Source organism: Homo sapiens, chromosome 20 (genome assembly GCF_000001405.40).
Source record: "Homo sapiens chromosome 20, GRCh38.p14 Primary Assembly".
Classification (NCBI taxonomy): domain Eukaryota; kingdom Metazoa; phylum Chordata; class Mammalia; order Primates; family Hominidae; genus Homo; species Homo sapiens.
The window spans coordinates 3,111,757-3,124,168 of record NC_000020.11 but is presented as its reverse complement, the minus strand read 5'-3'; the positions used below and the strand labels follow the sequence as shown (position 1 = coordinate 3,124,168).

Genomic DNA, 12,412 nt, shown 5'->3' with positions numbered 1-12,412 from the left:
GGAATGCAGTGGTGTGATCATAGCTCACTGCAGCCTTGAACTCCTGAGCTCAAGTGATCCACCTCAGCCTCCCAAATAGTTGTGACTACAGGTGCATATCAGACATAGCAAGATCCCTACAACGTTTTGTTGTAGAGATGGGGTCTCTACAACAAGACCAGCTATGTTTCCCAGGCTGGTCTTGAACTTCTGGGCTCAAGCAGTCCTACCACCTCAGCCTCCCAAATTGTTGGGATTACAGGCATGAGCCACCACACCTGGCCTCTAATAAATTTTCTATGTCTCAATAATGATGTTTTTGACTCATTGTTTTCATTTTAATAAGAAAACATAATTGCATTGACAAGTATTAAATGACAAGGATGCTTACCACCACTATAATTATTTTTTATGACCCTTTCCATTCCGAACACTCTGTCCTTTCTCTGAGCTCAGATACTTTTGCCACTCCCTTCCTGTGGCAACCCCCAGCACAGCTGATGGGCCTTGCCTCCATTGGGTCTTTGGAACAGCTGTTGGCCAGAGAACTGGCAGTCTTTGCCAACCTGTTGAGCCTGCCATAGAAGTCTTCTCTATAATTTTTCAGTGACTAATTTTTCCCCAACATCATGTATAGGATATAAGGAAAGTCAGTGTGGACCGTGAGAGTGTGTGTGTTCAAGTTTTTGTTGCCATCCTGTTTGATTCTCTTAAGAATCAACTTCTGAAAGTTTAGAATTGAATTTTACATTTTCTAATACATAGTTTTATTTCTTATTTAAGGCTGCTTCTGATGCTTGGAAGATATCCTCTCAGCCACAAAGATGGTAATAAATCTTTGCCTCCCACAGTTCAGACCAAGAATTCACTGCAACAAGGTAAACAAAACAAATATATACACATAAATATATGCTATGTTTGTCATGTGTTTCATCATTTCCTGCCTTGTGTGTGTGGATTTGATTCAGGCTTACTGCACTTTTGCTCTTGTTACTTTAGATTCCATCAGATGGTATTTAGGTAAGCATGGGGCAGGCTCACCTCTAGAATCACACAGCGCCATGGTGAGGTGAGCTGTGACTCATTTTGTGCAGGGTCCTCTTCACTGTGCTCTTTGTTCTTTGATGATCAATCTCCAGTCTCGTCAAAGTCATAGCAAAGGTAGAAATACTTTCTCTCCCCTGCACTTCTCTCCCCAGATACTGTTTTGAAGGGAGTTTTGGTTGGATTGGGCAGGATTTTGTTGCTTGCTTTTTTTTTTGGCAGGGAAAAGGGATATGGGGTCTTGCTATGTTGCCCAGGCCTATCTAACTCCTGGGCTAATGGGATCCTCCTGCCTCAGCCTCCTGAGTAGCTGGGACTACAGGTGTGTACCAACATGCCCAGCTCAGTTGCTCATATTTTTAAGGTTGGGCAATACTTGGGGGCCCCGATCTGGGACAATTGCCCTTGGCCTTTGATCTGATCTTGGGTGCCCTGATCTGGGACAATTCAGTTTAATAGAGGAAATTTTAAAACGAGGAACCTCAGGCTTAAGAGTTTTCTTACAAGTGACAAGTTGTCTTCATTTGGATCATTGTATCTTGTGTTTTTTATTAAATCTAGATATCAGCTGATGGTTACGAAGTAGAAAATCTCATCTCTGAAGATCTCACAAAGAGAAGTCATGGTTTCAGGACAGAGTATTTCATTAAGCCACCAGTCTATGTGACAGTTTCATTTCCCTTTAATGTGGAAATCTGTAGGATCAACATAGACCTCACAGCTGGGGGAGGTCAGAACGTCACTGGCCTGGAAATGTACACATCTGCCTCATCTAGCAGAGTGTCTTGGAATACGCCCCAGTGCCGGACCCTGGGCCCAGCTGAGCCATCTGTCCCAGACAAGGAGGCGTTCACCTTGGTAGGCAAAGTCTTACTGAAAAACCAGAGCCAAGTGGTGTTTAGCCACAGGGGCTTCAAGGCCAGGCCCCCTTTTGGCGCGATGGAAGCCACACTCCCCTCCCCTGCTGTTGTGGCCCAGGAGCTCTGGAATAAAGGGGCTCTTTCCCTTAGCCACGTGGCCCACTTAAGGATCTGTATCACCCATGTGACAGGCGGCGGTATCCCTTGTATCAAGCGGTTGGAAGTGTGGGGTCAGCCGGCCAAGACCTGCTCCCAGGAAGTGATAGACAGCATCCTGCTGGTCACCTCAGAGAACCTGCCTCAGGATGTGGCTCTGCAGGCTCCAGCCTTGCCCATGGAAAGTGACTGTGACCCTGGGGACCAGCCTGAGAGCCAGCAGGCTCCCTCCAGCCTGCAGAAGCTGGCCGAGATCATTCAGGATGTGCCTGAGGAGTTCCTGGATCCCATCACCCTGGAGATCATGCCTTGTCCCATGCTGCTGCCCTCAGGCAAGGTCATCGACCAGAGCACACTGGAGAAGTGTAACCGCAGTGAAGCCACATGGGGCCGAGTGCCCAGTGACCCTTTCACGGGGGTAGCTTTTACTCCGCACTCTCAGCCCCTGCCTCACCCCTCCCTCAAGGCCCGGATTGACCATTTCCTGCTCCAGCACTCCATCCCTGGCTGCCACCTGCTTGGGAGAGCACAGACGGCATTGGCAGTGATCCCTTCTTCCATTGTTCTGCCCTCTCAGAAAAGGAAGATAGAGCAGGCTGAACATGTCCCAGACAGTAACTTTGGTGTAAATGCTTCCTGTTTTTCTGCCACAAGCCCTTTGGTCTTACCCACTACCTCAGAGCACACTGCTAAGAAAATGAAAGCCACCAATGAGCCCAGCCTGACACATATGGACTGCTCGACAGGTAATTCAGCATCCTGTGTCCGCAGCCAGGCTCATCCATCTCCTTCCCAGGAGCTCTCAGCTCTGCTGCCCTTTGCTTTGTGCTTGGCCAGCTTACATTCCCGAGGCTGTGCCTGTGCTGCCTCCTTCCCGTTTCCCATCCTGGGGCCCCTCAGCTTTGTCTTCAGACCAGGGACAACCTGGAGCCTTGGAGGGGTTCCATGTGTTCTCGTCTATTCTCATCTGTTCCGAGGCTTCAGTCTGCGTGTTTCGCTCCTCTGTTGGTGATGGTCCCATGGGCACTGTTGCCTTCCTTGGGGTCCCTTTATGTGCCCTGGCCTGGTCAACACTTTTTCCTGGGCTTGAAGCCTCTGGTCAGAGCTGCTGGGAGGAAAGATACCAGTCCCTCAAAGCAGAGAATCTCTTCTGGTGCCTTCTTTGTGTTACTCATGTGACAGTGGGCTCCTCTGGGTGTTATTTCTAACCGTCACAGAGGTACAAGGATATATTGCATGGAGGTTCTCTGTGCGCCCCCCTCACCATGTGGCATGAGGACACAGAAAAGGAAAAAGGACTAGGTCTGTGGGCCTTCCTTTCAGGAGAGGGTTACTGAAGAGAAAAGCCACACTGAAGAGGGTGCACTCAGTAAATGTGTGGACAAATTGCAATATTCTCTTTGTGTTTTTTTCTGTTTTTCTTCTTTATTGCATTTGGCAGGATCCACCAGGTAAAATTGCAACAATCTTTTTTTTTTTTTTTTGAGATGGAGTCTCGCTGTGTCGCCCAGGCTGGAGTGCGGTGGCATGATCTCGGCTCACTGCAAGCTCTGCCTTCCGGGTTCACACCATTCTCCTGCCTCAGCCTCCCGAGTAGCTGGGATTAGGCGCCCGCCACCACGCCTGGCTAAGTTTTTGTATTTTTAGTAAAGACGGGGTTTCACCTTGTTAGCTAGGATGGTCTCAATCTCCTGACCTTGTGATCCACCCACCTTGGCCTCCCAAAGTGCCGGGATTACAGATGTAAGCCACTGCACTCGACTTCTGTTTTTTTTTTTTTTTTTGAGATGGAGTCTCGCTCTGTCACCAGGCTGGAGTGCAGTGGCGTGATATTGGCTCACTGCAACCTCCGCCTCCCAGGTTCAAGTGATTCTCCTGCCTCAGCCTCTGGAGTAGCTGGGATTACAGACGCGCGCCACCACGCCCAGCTAATTTTTGTATTTTTAGTAGAGAAGGGGTTTCACCATGGTGCCCGGGATGGTCTCAACCTGTTAACCTCGTGATCCACCTGCCTCGGCTTCCTAAAGTGCTGGGATCTGCAAGCCACTGTGCCTGGCCTGCAACATTCTTGAGTATGAGATTTAAGGATCCTGGCTTCCTGCCTCTTCCCTGGGGCATTGCCAGTGATTTCTAGGGCCGGTGATGCTGCTCTCTCCTGAGGTGAGCAGCCCTGGTTCACTGGGTGACCTCTGCAGCTGAATGTGTTCAGTGTGAATACCTCAGGGCAAGCTGGATGTTGGATCTTAGGCTGAGATAGATGTTTTTTTGTTGTTGTTGAGATGGAGCCTCACTCTGTTACCCAGGCTGGAGTGCAATGGCGCAATCTCGTCTCACTGCAGCCTCCGCCTCGCAGCTTCAAGCAATTCTCCTGCCTCAGCCTCCCAAGTAGCTGGGATTACAGGCATGTACCACCACACCGGCTAATTTTTTGTATTTTTAGTAAAGACAGGTTTTCACCATGTTGGCCAGGTTGGTCTCGAACTCCTGACCTCAGGTGATTCGCCCACCTCAGCCTCCCAGAGTGCTAGGATTACAGGTATAAGCCACCGCGCCTGGCCTGAGATAGATGTTTTTATCATGTTAAAGAAGTATTGGTTATCTATTGCTAGGTAACAAATTACCCCAAAACTTACTGGCTTACAGCAACAAACATTCATTGTCTCATAACTTCTGTGGATCACAAATCCCAGCGTAACTTGGCTGGATTCTCTGCTTCAGGGTCTTCCAAGTCTGCCATCAAACTGGTGGCTGAGGCTGTGGTCATCTCAAGGATCAACTGGGGAAGCATTTACTTCTAGTCTCACCCACATCATTGTTGCAAGATTCAGCTCGTTGATGCATTGTTGGACTGAGGCCTCACTTGCTGGTTGGCTGTTGGCCCAAGGCTGCCCTCGGTTCCTTGCCTTGTGGGCCTCTCCATAGGGCAGTGTACTGTGTGGGAGCTGTGCGTTCCAGAGAGAGTGCACAGACGAGGGAAATCCATCTTTTAGAATGTAATCTTGAAAGTCACACTCCTCACTTCTATTGTATTCTTATTTTTCCCAAGGTATTTGTTAATTGCTTATTTATAATATTAAGAGAAATGATTTCTTAGCCTCCATCTTCATATTTCTTAGTTCGAGAACACAGATCAGTGACAAACTTCTGTGTAATTCAACCTAAATAATTCCTTCCTTCCTTCCTTTTTTTTTGAGATGGAGTCTCACTGTGTCACTCAGGGTAGAGTGCAGTGGTGTGATCTCGGCTCACTTCAATCTCTGCCTCCCGGGTTCAAGCAATTCTCATGCCTCAGCCTCTGGAATAGCTGGGACTATAGGTGCGTGCCAACACGCCTGGCTGATTTTTTTTCTTTTTTTTTGAGACGGAGTCTCGCTCTGTCGCCCAGGCTGGAGTGCAGTGGCGCGATCTTGGCTCACTGCCAGCTCCGCCTCCCTGGTTCACGCCATTCTCCTGCCTCAGCCTCCTGAGTAGCTGGGACTACAGGCGCCCGCCAGCACACCTGGCTAATTTTTTTAATACTTTTAGTAGAGACGGGGTTTCACTGTGTTAGCCAGGATGGTCTTGATCTCCTGACCTCATGATCCACCCACCTCGGCCTCCCAAAGTGCTGGGATTACAGGTGTGAGCCACTACACCTGGCTGATTTTTGTATTTTTATGAGGCAGAGTCTCACTCTGTCACCCAGGCTGGAGTGCAATAGCACAATCTTGGCTCACTGCAACCTCTGCCTCCTGGTCTAAGCAATTCTCCTGCCTCAGCCTCCAGAGTAGTTGGGATTACAGGTGCCCACAACCGTGCCCAGCTAATTTTTGTATTTTTAGTATAGACTGGGTTTTGTCATGTTGGCCAAGCTGATCTTGAACTCCTGACCTCAGGTTATCTACCTGCCTCAGCCTCCCAAAGTGCTGGGATTACAGGCATGAGCGATAGTGCCCGGCCTGTTAATGGTTTCTTTTTGTTTTGTTTTTTTGGAAACAGTCTCCCTCTGTCGCCCAGGCTGGAGTGCAGCAGTGACGCAATCTCTGCTCACTGCGACCTCTGCTGCTGGGATTTAAGTGATTCTCCTGCCTCGGTAGCCAAGACTACAGGCGCACAGCACCATACTGGCTAATTTTTTTTATTTTTATTTTTATTTTTTGAGACAGAGTCTCATTCTGTCGCCCTGGCTGGAGTGCAGTGTCGCAATCTCTGCTCACTGCAACCTCCGCCTCCCGGATTCAAGTGATTTTCCTGCCTCAGCCTCCTGATTAGCTGAGATTACAGGCGCTCGCCACCATGCCTGGCTAATTTTTGTATTTGTAGTAGAGATGGGGTTTCGCCATGTTGGCCAGGCTGGTCTTGAACTCCTGACCTCAGGTGATCTGCCTGCCTCAGCCTCCCAAAGTGCTGGGATTACAAGTGTGAGCCACCACGCCCAGCCCTGTTATTTATTTATTTATCTATATAGTGACGGAGTCTCGCTCTGTCGCCCGGGCTGGAGTGCACTTGTGCGATCTTGGCTCACTGCAACCTCTGCCTCCTGGATTCTAGCAATTCTCCTGCTTCTGCCTCCTGAGTAGCTGGGACTACAGGCACATGCCGCCACACCCGGCTAATTTTTCGTATTTTATTAGAGACGGTGTTTCACCATGTTGCCCAGGCTGGTCACAAACTCCTGAGCTCAGGCAATCCACCCGCCTTGGCCTCCCAAAACTCTGGGATTACAGGCATGAGCTACAGCGCCTGGCCCCTGTTAATAGATTTTAATGGTTCTGTTTGCTAGTGTTAGGATTTTTGTATTCATTAGTGGGGTTGGACTGTAGTGTGTGTGTGTGTGTGTGTGTGTGTGTGTGTGTGTGTGTGCCATCTTTGGTCAGGTGTCATTGATGATTTTTTTGTTCCATAGAAAGAATTTAGAATTTTTTCTTTTCTGTGCTGTGGAACAATTGAATAGTATTGGAATACCCACTCTGCCTGTCTAGTAGAAGTCCTTGTGATTGTCAGTGCTTGGTGCTTGTGGAGGGTAGCTCTTTGACACGTTTCCTTTTTTTTTTTGAGATGGAGTCTCGCTCTGTCACCCAGGCTGGAGTGCAGTAGTGTGATTATGGCTCACTGCAACCTCTGCCTCCTGAGTTCAAGCGAATCTCCTGCCTCAGCTTCCCGAGTAGCTGGGATTACAGGCACGCACTACTACGCCTGGCTAATTTTTGTATTTTCAGTAGAGACAGGATTTCGCCATGTTGACCAGGCTGGTCTTGAACTCCTGACTTCAGGCGATCTGCCTGTCTCAGCCTCCCAAAGTGCTGGGATTACAGGTGTGAGCCACTGTGCCTGGCCTGGCAACCTTTTCTTTTTCCTTATGGAAATTATTCTGTTTAGGTTGATCATTCTTTTAGTTTCCTATGTTCTTCTAAAAGACTATGCAAATACTATGCTTAACGTTTATTTCTGTGTCTTTGGTTTTAAGAGTAAATTCTAGTTAACATGACCTTCAGAAACTCCTGGAAACATCTGAGGCGCAGTGGGGTGGAACAAGGAAAAAGGTCCTTAGACTTCAGCGTCAGTTTGTGGAGGTCTCAGTCCTGTTGGCCTTGACAGACTTGGTGACTCAGGACCACGCTGACTAGGGCTCCTTCAAGGCCCTGAGCTGATGTCCTGTGTCCTGCAAACAGTGGACAAAAGTTTCCATTCTCCTCTTTGAGACAGCATTGCAAATTTTTCTGCCACACAGGTCCCTGGGGTCTTTCTTGGGCAGCTGTCCCCCTACCCCTTTGGCCTTCACCCTCATTCCATGGCTTGGCTTTCTGTTGATCCTACACTAAAGGTCCCCTAAATTGTGGCGTGGTCAACGTGGGGTCTTAGTTCTATTCGGTAAAAACTGCTTTGTTTTACTTAACAGGAGAGAGAGGACATGAACACCTAGAAAATGCAGATGAACCCCTCTGGGGGGTGGTGGGGTCCCCAGAAGGGTGGAGTTAGGGAAAGAGAAGACTAAGGCCGCTGGGGAGGGAATGGGGGGCAGGGAGCAGCAGTCCAAAGCTGGCGTTTGCTTGCCCCAGTTATTTTCTTGGCCAGCAAGGAGGCCTTTAGAAAGGAGGCCAGGCGCTGTGGCTCACGCCTGTAATCCCGGCACTTTGGGAGGCTGAGGCAGGTGGATCACGAGGTCAGGAGATCTCCTAGCCAACATGGTGAAACCCCGTCTCTACTAAAATACAAAAAATTAGCCAGGCGTGGTGGCGCACACCTGTAGTCCCAGCTACTTGGGAGGCTGAGACAGGAGAATCGCTTGAATCCAGGAGGCGAAGGTTGCAGTGAGCTGAGATGGCACCCCTGCACTCCTTCTCAGCCTGGGCGACAGACCAAGGCTCCATCTCAAAAAAAAAAAAAAAAAAAAAAAGGAGCGTGCAGTTCTGCAGTTGAGCCACGAGGTGGCTCATGTCTGCCCAGCAGTTTCTCCAGGAGGAGAAAAGCCTGAAGCCGGTGGGATGGGCAGGAACTGCCGGTGTTCCTAGGGCTTTACCTCCCGGTGTTCTGTCATGGTCCGCCAGTAGACATTAGGATGGAGTTTCATTACATTGATGTGTGAGATTGGAGGTGCCGTTTTTACAGCCCTCGAAGGACTTGAGGCTGTTCTCTTTTGCGGAGCCTGTCTCTGGATGTTGTGCTGTGCGCATCTCTCGACAGGTCCACTGTCCCACGAGCAGAAGCTGTCACAAAGCTTGGAAATTGCCTTGGCATCCACCCTTGGCTCTATGCCCTCCTTCACGGCACGGCTGACCAGGGGACAGCTCCAGCACCTTGGCACAAGAGGGAGCAACACTTCCTGGAGGCCTGGCACCGGCTCGGGTAACATGGGCCCCGCCATCTCCTTGGAGCCTTGGAATGGGTGGTCTGTTTTCTGTCTCTGGATGCTGGGCCGAGTCCCTGGGGGCTCTGTGGACCTGCCTGGCCAGCCTCCCCGTCAGTTCCAACACCCACCCTGGGAGAGAACCTGTTCTCTTGCCTTTTCCAGGGGTAGTTGAGGGGCTGCCTATGAACTTAAACTCCCCACAAGAAAGGCTTTCTTTAGTCAATCCTTAGTAATTCTGTGGATGTAGGGCTTGGCCACCCTCTGATGTGTTTCCTTGTGAGATCTAATGTTAATTATTTTCTCCTGAGGATTTTTGTTTCTCTTTTTTTTGTTTGTTATTTATTTATTTATTTGAGACTGCATCTCGCCCTGTTGCCCAGGCTGGAGTGCAGTGGCACAGTCTCAGCTCACTGCAACCTCCGCCTCCTGGATTCAAGCTATTCTCCTGCCTCAGCCTCCTGAGTAGCTGGGATTACAGGCGCCCGCCACCATGCCCGGCTAATTTTTTGTATTTTTAGTAGAGACGGGGTTTCACCATGTTGCCAGGCTGGTCTCGAACTCCCGACCTCGTGATCCGCCCGCCTCGGCCTCGCAAAGCGCTGAGATTACAGGAGTGAGCCACCGCGCCTGGCCTTTTTTGTTATTTTTTTCTCATCTAGCCAGTCTGCAGTCTGACATCCGGGGCACTTTATGTAAATGTGAAGAGAGGTTTGGTTGGGTTTGTCGTCCTCATCCCTTCAGATTAACACTTCCGTCAGTGTCTTAGAAAGAGCAGTGGCAGCTTATGGGCCAATTTTGCCTAAAATGAACCTTGACCCCCATTGTATGCCAGAATCTATTAGGATACAAAGCAACAGAAACTGATTGCAACGGGAGGCATTTTTTACGAGATGGAGCTCCTGCTGTGCGAAACGCCTTCTCTCTTGGCTTTTAGGCTGTTTTGCTTCTTTTCTCCTATCTTCGGTGGTCCCTCTTCAGTTTCCATTGCCAATTGCCTTCTCTACCAGCTCTGGCCCTGGACTCTCTAATCTCAATATTCTCTGTTACCCAAGTGAAAACTCACATCTCCGGCAACTGTCCATGTTCCCCTGTAGCTCCTGCTTCTCCTTGGAACTCATCCTGCCGCCCTGACAGCACTCAACATCCTCTCTCTTTTTTCTTTTTTTAAGATGGAGTCTTGCCCCTGTTGCCCTAGCTGGAGTGCGATGGCGCGATTTCAGCTCACTGCAACTTCCGCCTCCTAGGTTCAAGTGATTCTCCTGCCTCAGCCTCCCAAGTAGCTGGGATTACAGGCACCCGCCACCACGCCCAGCTAATTTTTGTATTTTTAGTAGAGATGGGGTTTCACCATGTTGGCCAGGCTGGTTTTGAACTCCTGACCTCAGGTGATCCATCTGCCTCGGCCTCCCAAAGTGCTGGGAATACAGGCATGAGCCATCATGGCCAGGCTCAGCATCCTCTCTAAAGGAAACATTCAGACTCTGTACTGCTCACATCTGCCCTCCAGAGCTTTTCCCCCTCACTGCCCCCATCATCCTACCTGGGTAAGGGCAGCATCTTCTGTCTTGTGGTGAGGCTTCTAACACAGAAGTCATTCTCGAGTTCCTTCAGTGTCCCCATCCTGACATTCTGTTCATTATCAGGTCCTGTCCATCCTCCCCCAAGGTGACCTCAGGTTAGTCCCCTGCTCTCCTTCTGTGGCCCCTCCCCTGGCTGCAGCTCCCACTGCCTCACTCCCAGACTCCTGCAGTAGCCCCTGCTGGTATCCCCCCATCCTCGCCTTACTGTGGCTCATCATACTCATAGCAGTTGGATCTTTTTATCATGTCAGCCCATCACCATGCTCCACTTCTTCAAATCCTACCATGGCATCCCCTGAACTTAGGATAAAACCTCAACTCCTACTCCCTCTGAGGTCCTGCCTGCTGGAGCCCCCATGTCTCCTCCTCTGCAGTCTTATCTGAAGCCCACTCTCACTGTGTCTTTTTTTTTTTTTTTTTTTTGAGACAGAGTCTTGCTCTGTTTCGCTCTGTTGCCCGGGCTAGAGTACAATGGCGCAATCTCGGCTCACTGCAACCTCCACTTCCTGGGTTCAAGCAATCTTCCTGTCTCAGCCCCCACTAGTAGCTGGGATTACAGGCAAACGCCACCAAGCCCAGCTAATTTTTTTTTTTTTTTTTTGTATATTTAGTAGAGACAGCGTTTCGCCATGTTGGCCAGGCTGGTCTCGAACTCCTGACCTCAGGTGATCTACCTGCCTCAGCTTCCCAAAGTGCTGGGATTACAGGTGTGAGCCTCTGCACCCAGCTTCACTGTGTCTTTTTCTTTTCTTTTTGAGATGGAGTCTCGCTCTGTCGCCCAGGCTGGAGTGCAGTGGCACAATCCTGGCTCACTGCAACCTCTTTCTCCCTGGTTCAAGCAATCCTCCTGTCTCAGCCTTCTGAGTAGCTGGGGCTACAGGCGCCCGCCACCACGCCCGGCTAATTTTTGTATTTTTAGTTAGAAACGGGGTTTCGCTATGTTGGTCAGGCTGGTCTCGAACTCCTGACCTCAGGTGATCCACCCACCTCGGCCTCCCAGAGTGCTGGGATTACACTGGGATTACAGGTGTGAGCCACCGTGCCCGACCACTGTGTCTTTTTCTTTAACGGATAGGCTGTTCTTTGTGCTTGCTCTCCTTTCATTCTGTGTGGCTGGCCCCTTTTTATTCTCACAGCTCTTCCTACAGGAGGCCATGTTAGCCCACCCTTTTCAAAGCAAGCCCTCTTTTTTATCCTCTCTGTCACCTCAGTTTGCAGTTATATACTTGGGTTTCCATCCTGCCCAGGGCACAATAATTGTCTTTTCCTTGATGATTTTTTTTTTTTTTTTTCTGTCACTGAAACTGCCCCTGGGGCTCTGGGCCTCTGAGATCTTTTAATGGGACTTCTGGTCAGTGCTGGGGGCAATTGGGGCCCTTGCATGCTTCTGTGGTGTTGTGCCAGGTGTGCTTTTTAAAACTGATGGAAAATAAATTCTCATCATGCACTGTGGGTCAGGCAGATCTCTGAAGCCTCTGGCAGAGCCTGCATGAAAGGGGCACCACTGAAAAGCAGTCAGTGGCTCTTTCCTCCTGCTTCCTCCCCTCCCTTCTTTCCCCCCTCCCTCCCCACCTTCATTCCTCCCTCCTTCCCTTCCCTGTAGAGGTTCAACTTTCCACTCACTGGGGAATTTTTGGCTTGTGTGCACAGGAGAGGCACCCGGTACTTTTATGTTGCTTAATGTTTGGCCCAAAGAAAACACCCGCAGCCAGGCCACTCTTTCCTGGCTACAGTTCTCAGGGATGCGGAGGCAGGAACACTTCAGTTCCTGCTCCCCGTGTAGGGCACCCCTGCCCTCCCTTCTTTGGTGCCTGGTGCCCGAGTGTAGATGGCAGGTCCATTCATCACATGTGGATGGAGCACTTGCCCTGTGAGGTGCTGCGCCAGGTCCTGAGGCCGGATGAGAAACATGGACATAGTCCTGACCCTCAGGACCTGCAAAGCCTGGGGAGGAAGTAGGCATC

General features: G+C 50.0%; 1 protein-coding gene and 1 long non-coding RNA gene across 4 annotated transcripts in view; one reads left to right on the top strand and one right to left on the bottom strand.

Annotated features, from left to right (window-relative positions):
- Positions 1-12,412, bottom strand: part of UBOX5-AS1 (UBOX5 antisense RNA 1) — a 43,957-nt gene that overhangs the window by 26,699 nt on the left and 4,846 nt on the right. The gene's annotated exons all lie outside the window — the stretch shown is intronic.
- Positions 1-12,412, top strand: part of UBOX5 (U-box domain containing 5) — a 52,293-nt gene that overhangs the window by 35,697 nt on the left and 4,184 nt on the right. For 2 of the 3 annotated variants that reach the window (NM_001267584.2, NM_014948.4), the window contains exons 2-4: positions 763-857; positions 1,585-2,785; positions 8,703-8,864. In NM_001267584.2, coding sequence (NP_001254513.1) covers positions 804-857; positions 1,585-2,785; positions 8,703-8,864 — 1,417 coding nt within the window. In that variant the 5' untranslated portion in view covers positions 763-803. The remainder of the gene's footprint in view (positions 1-762; positions 858-1,584; positions 2,786-8,702; positions 8,865-12,412) is intronic. The other variant, NM_199415.3, reaches the window with a different exon arrangement.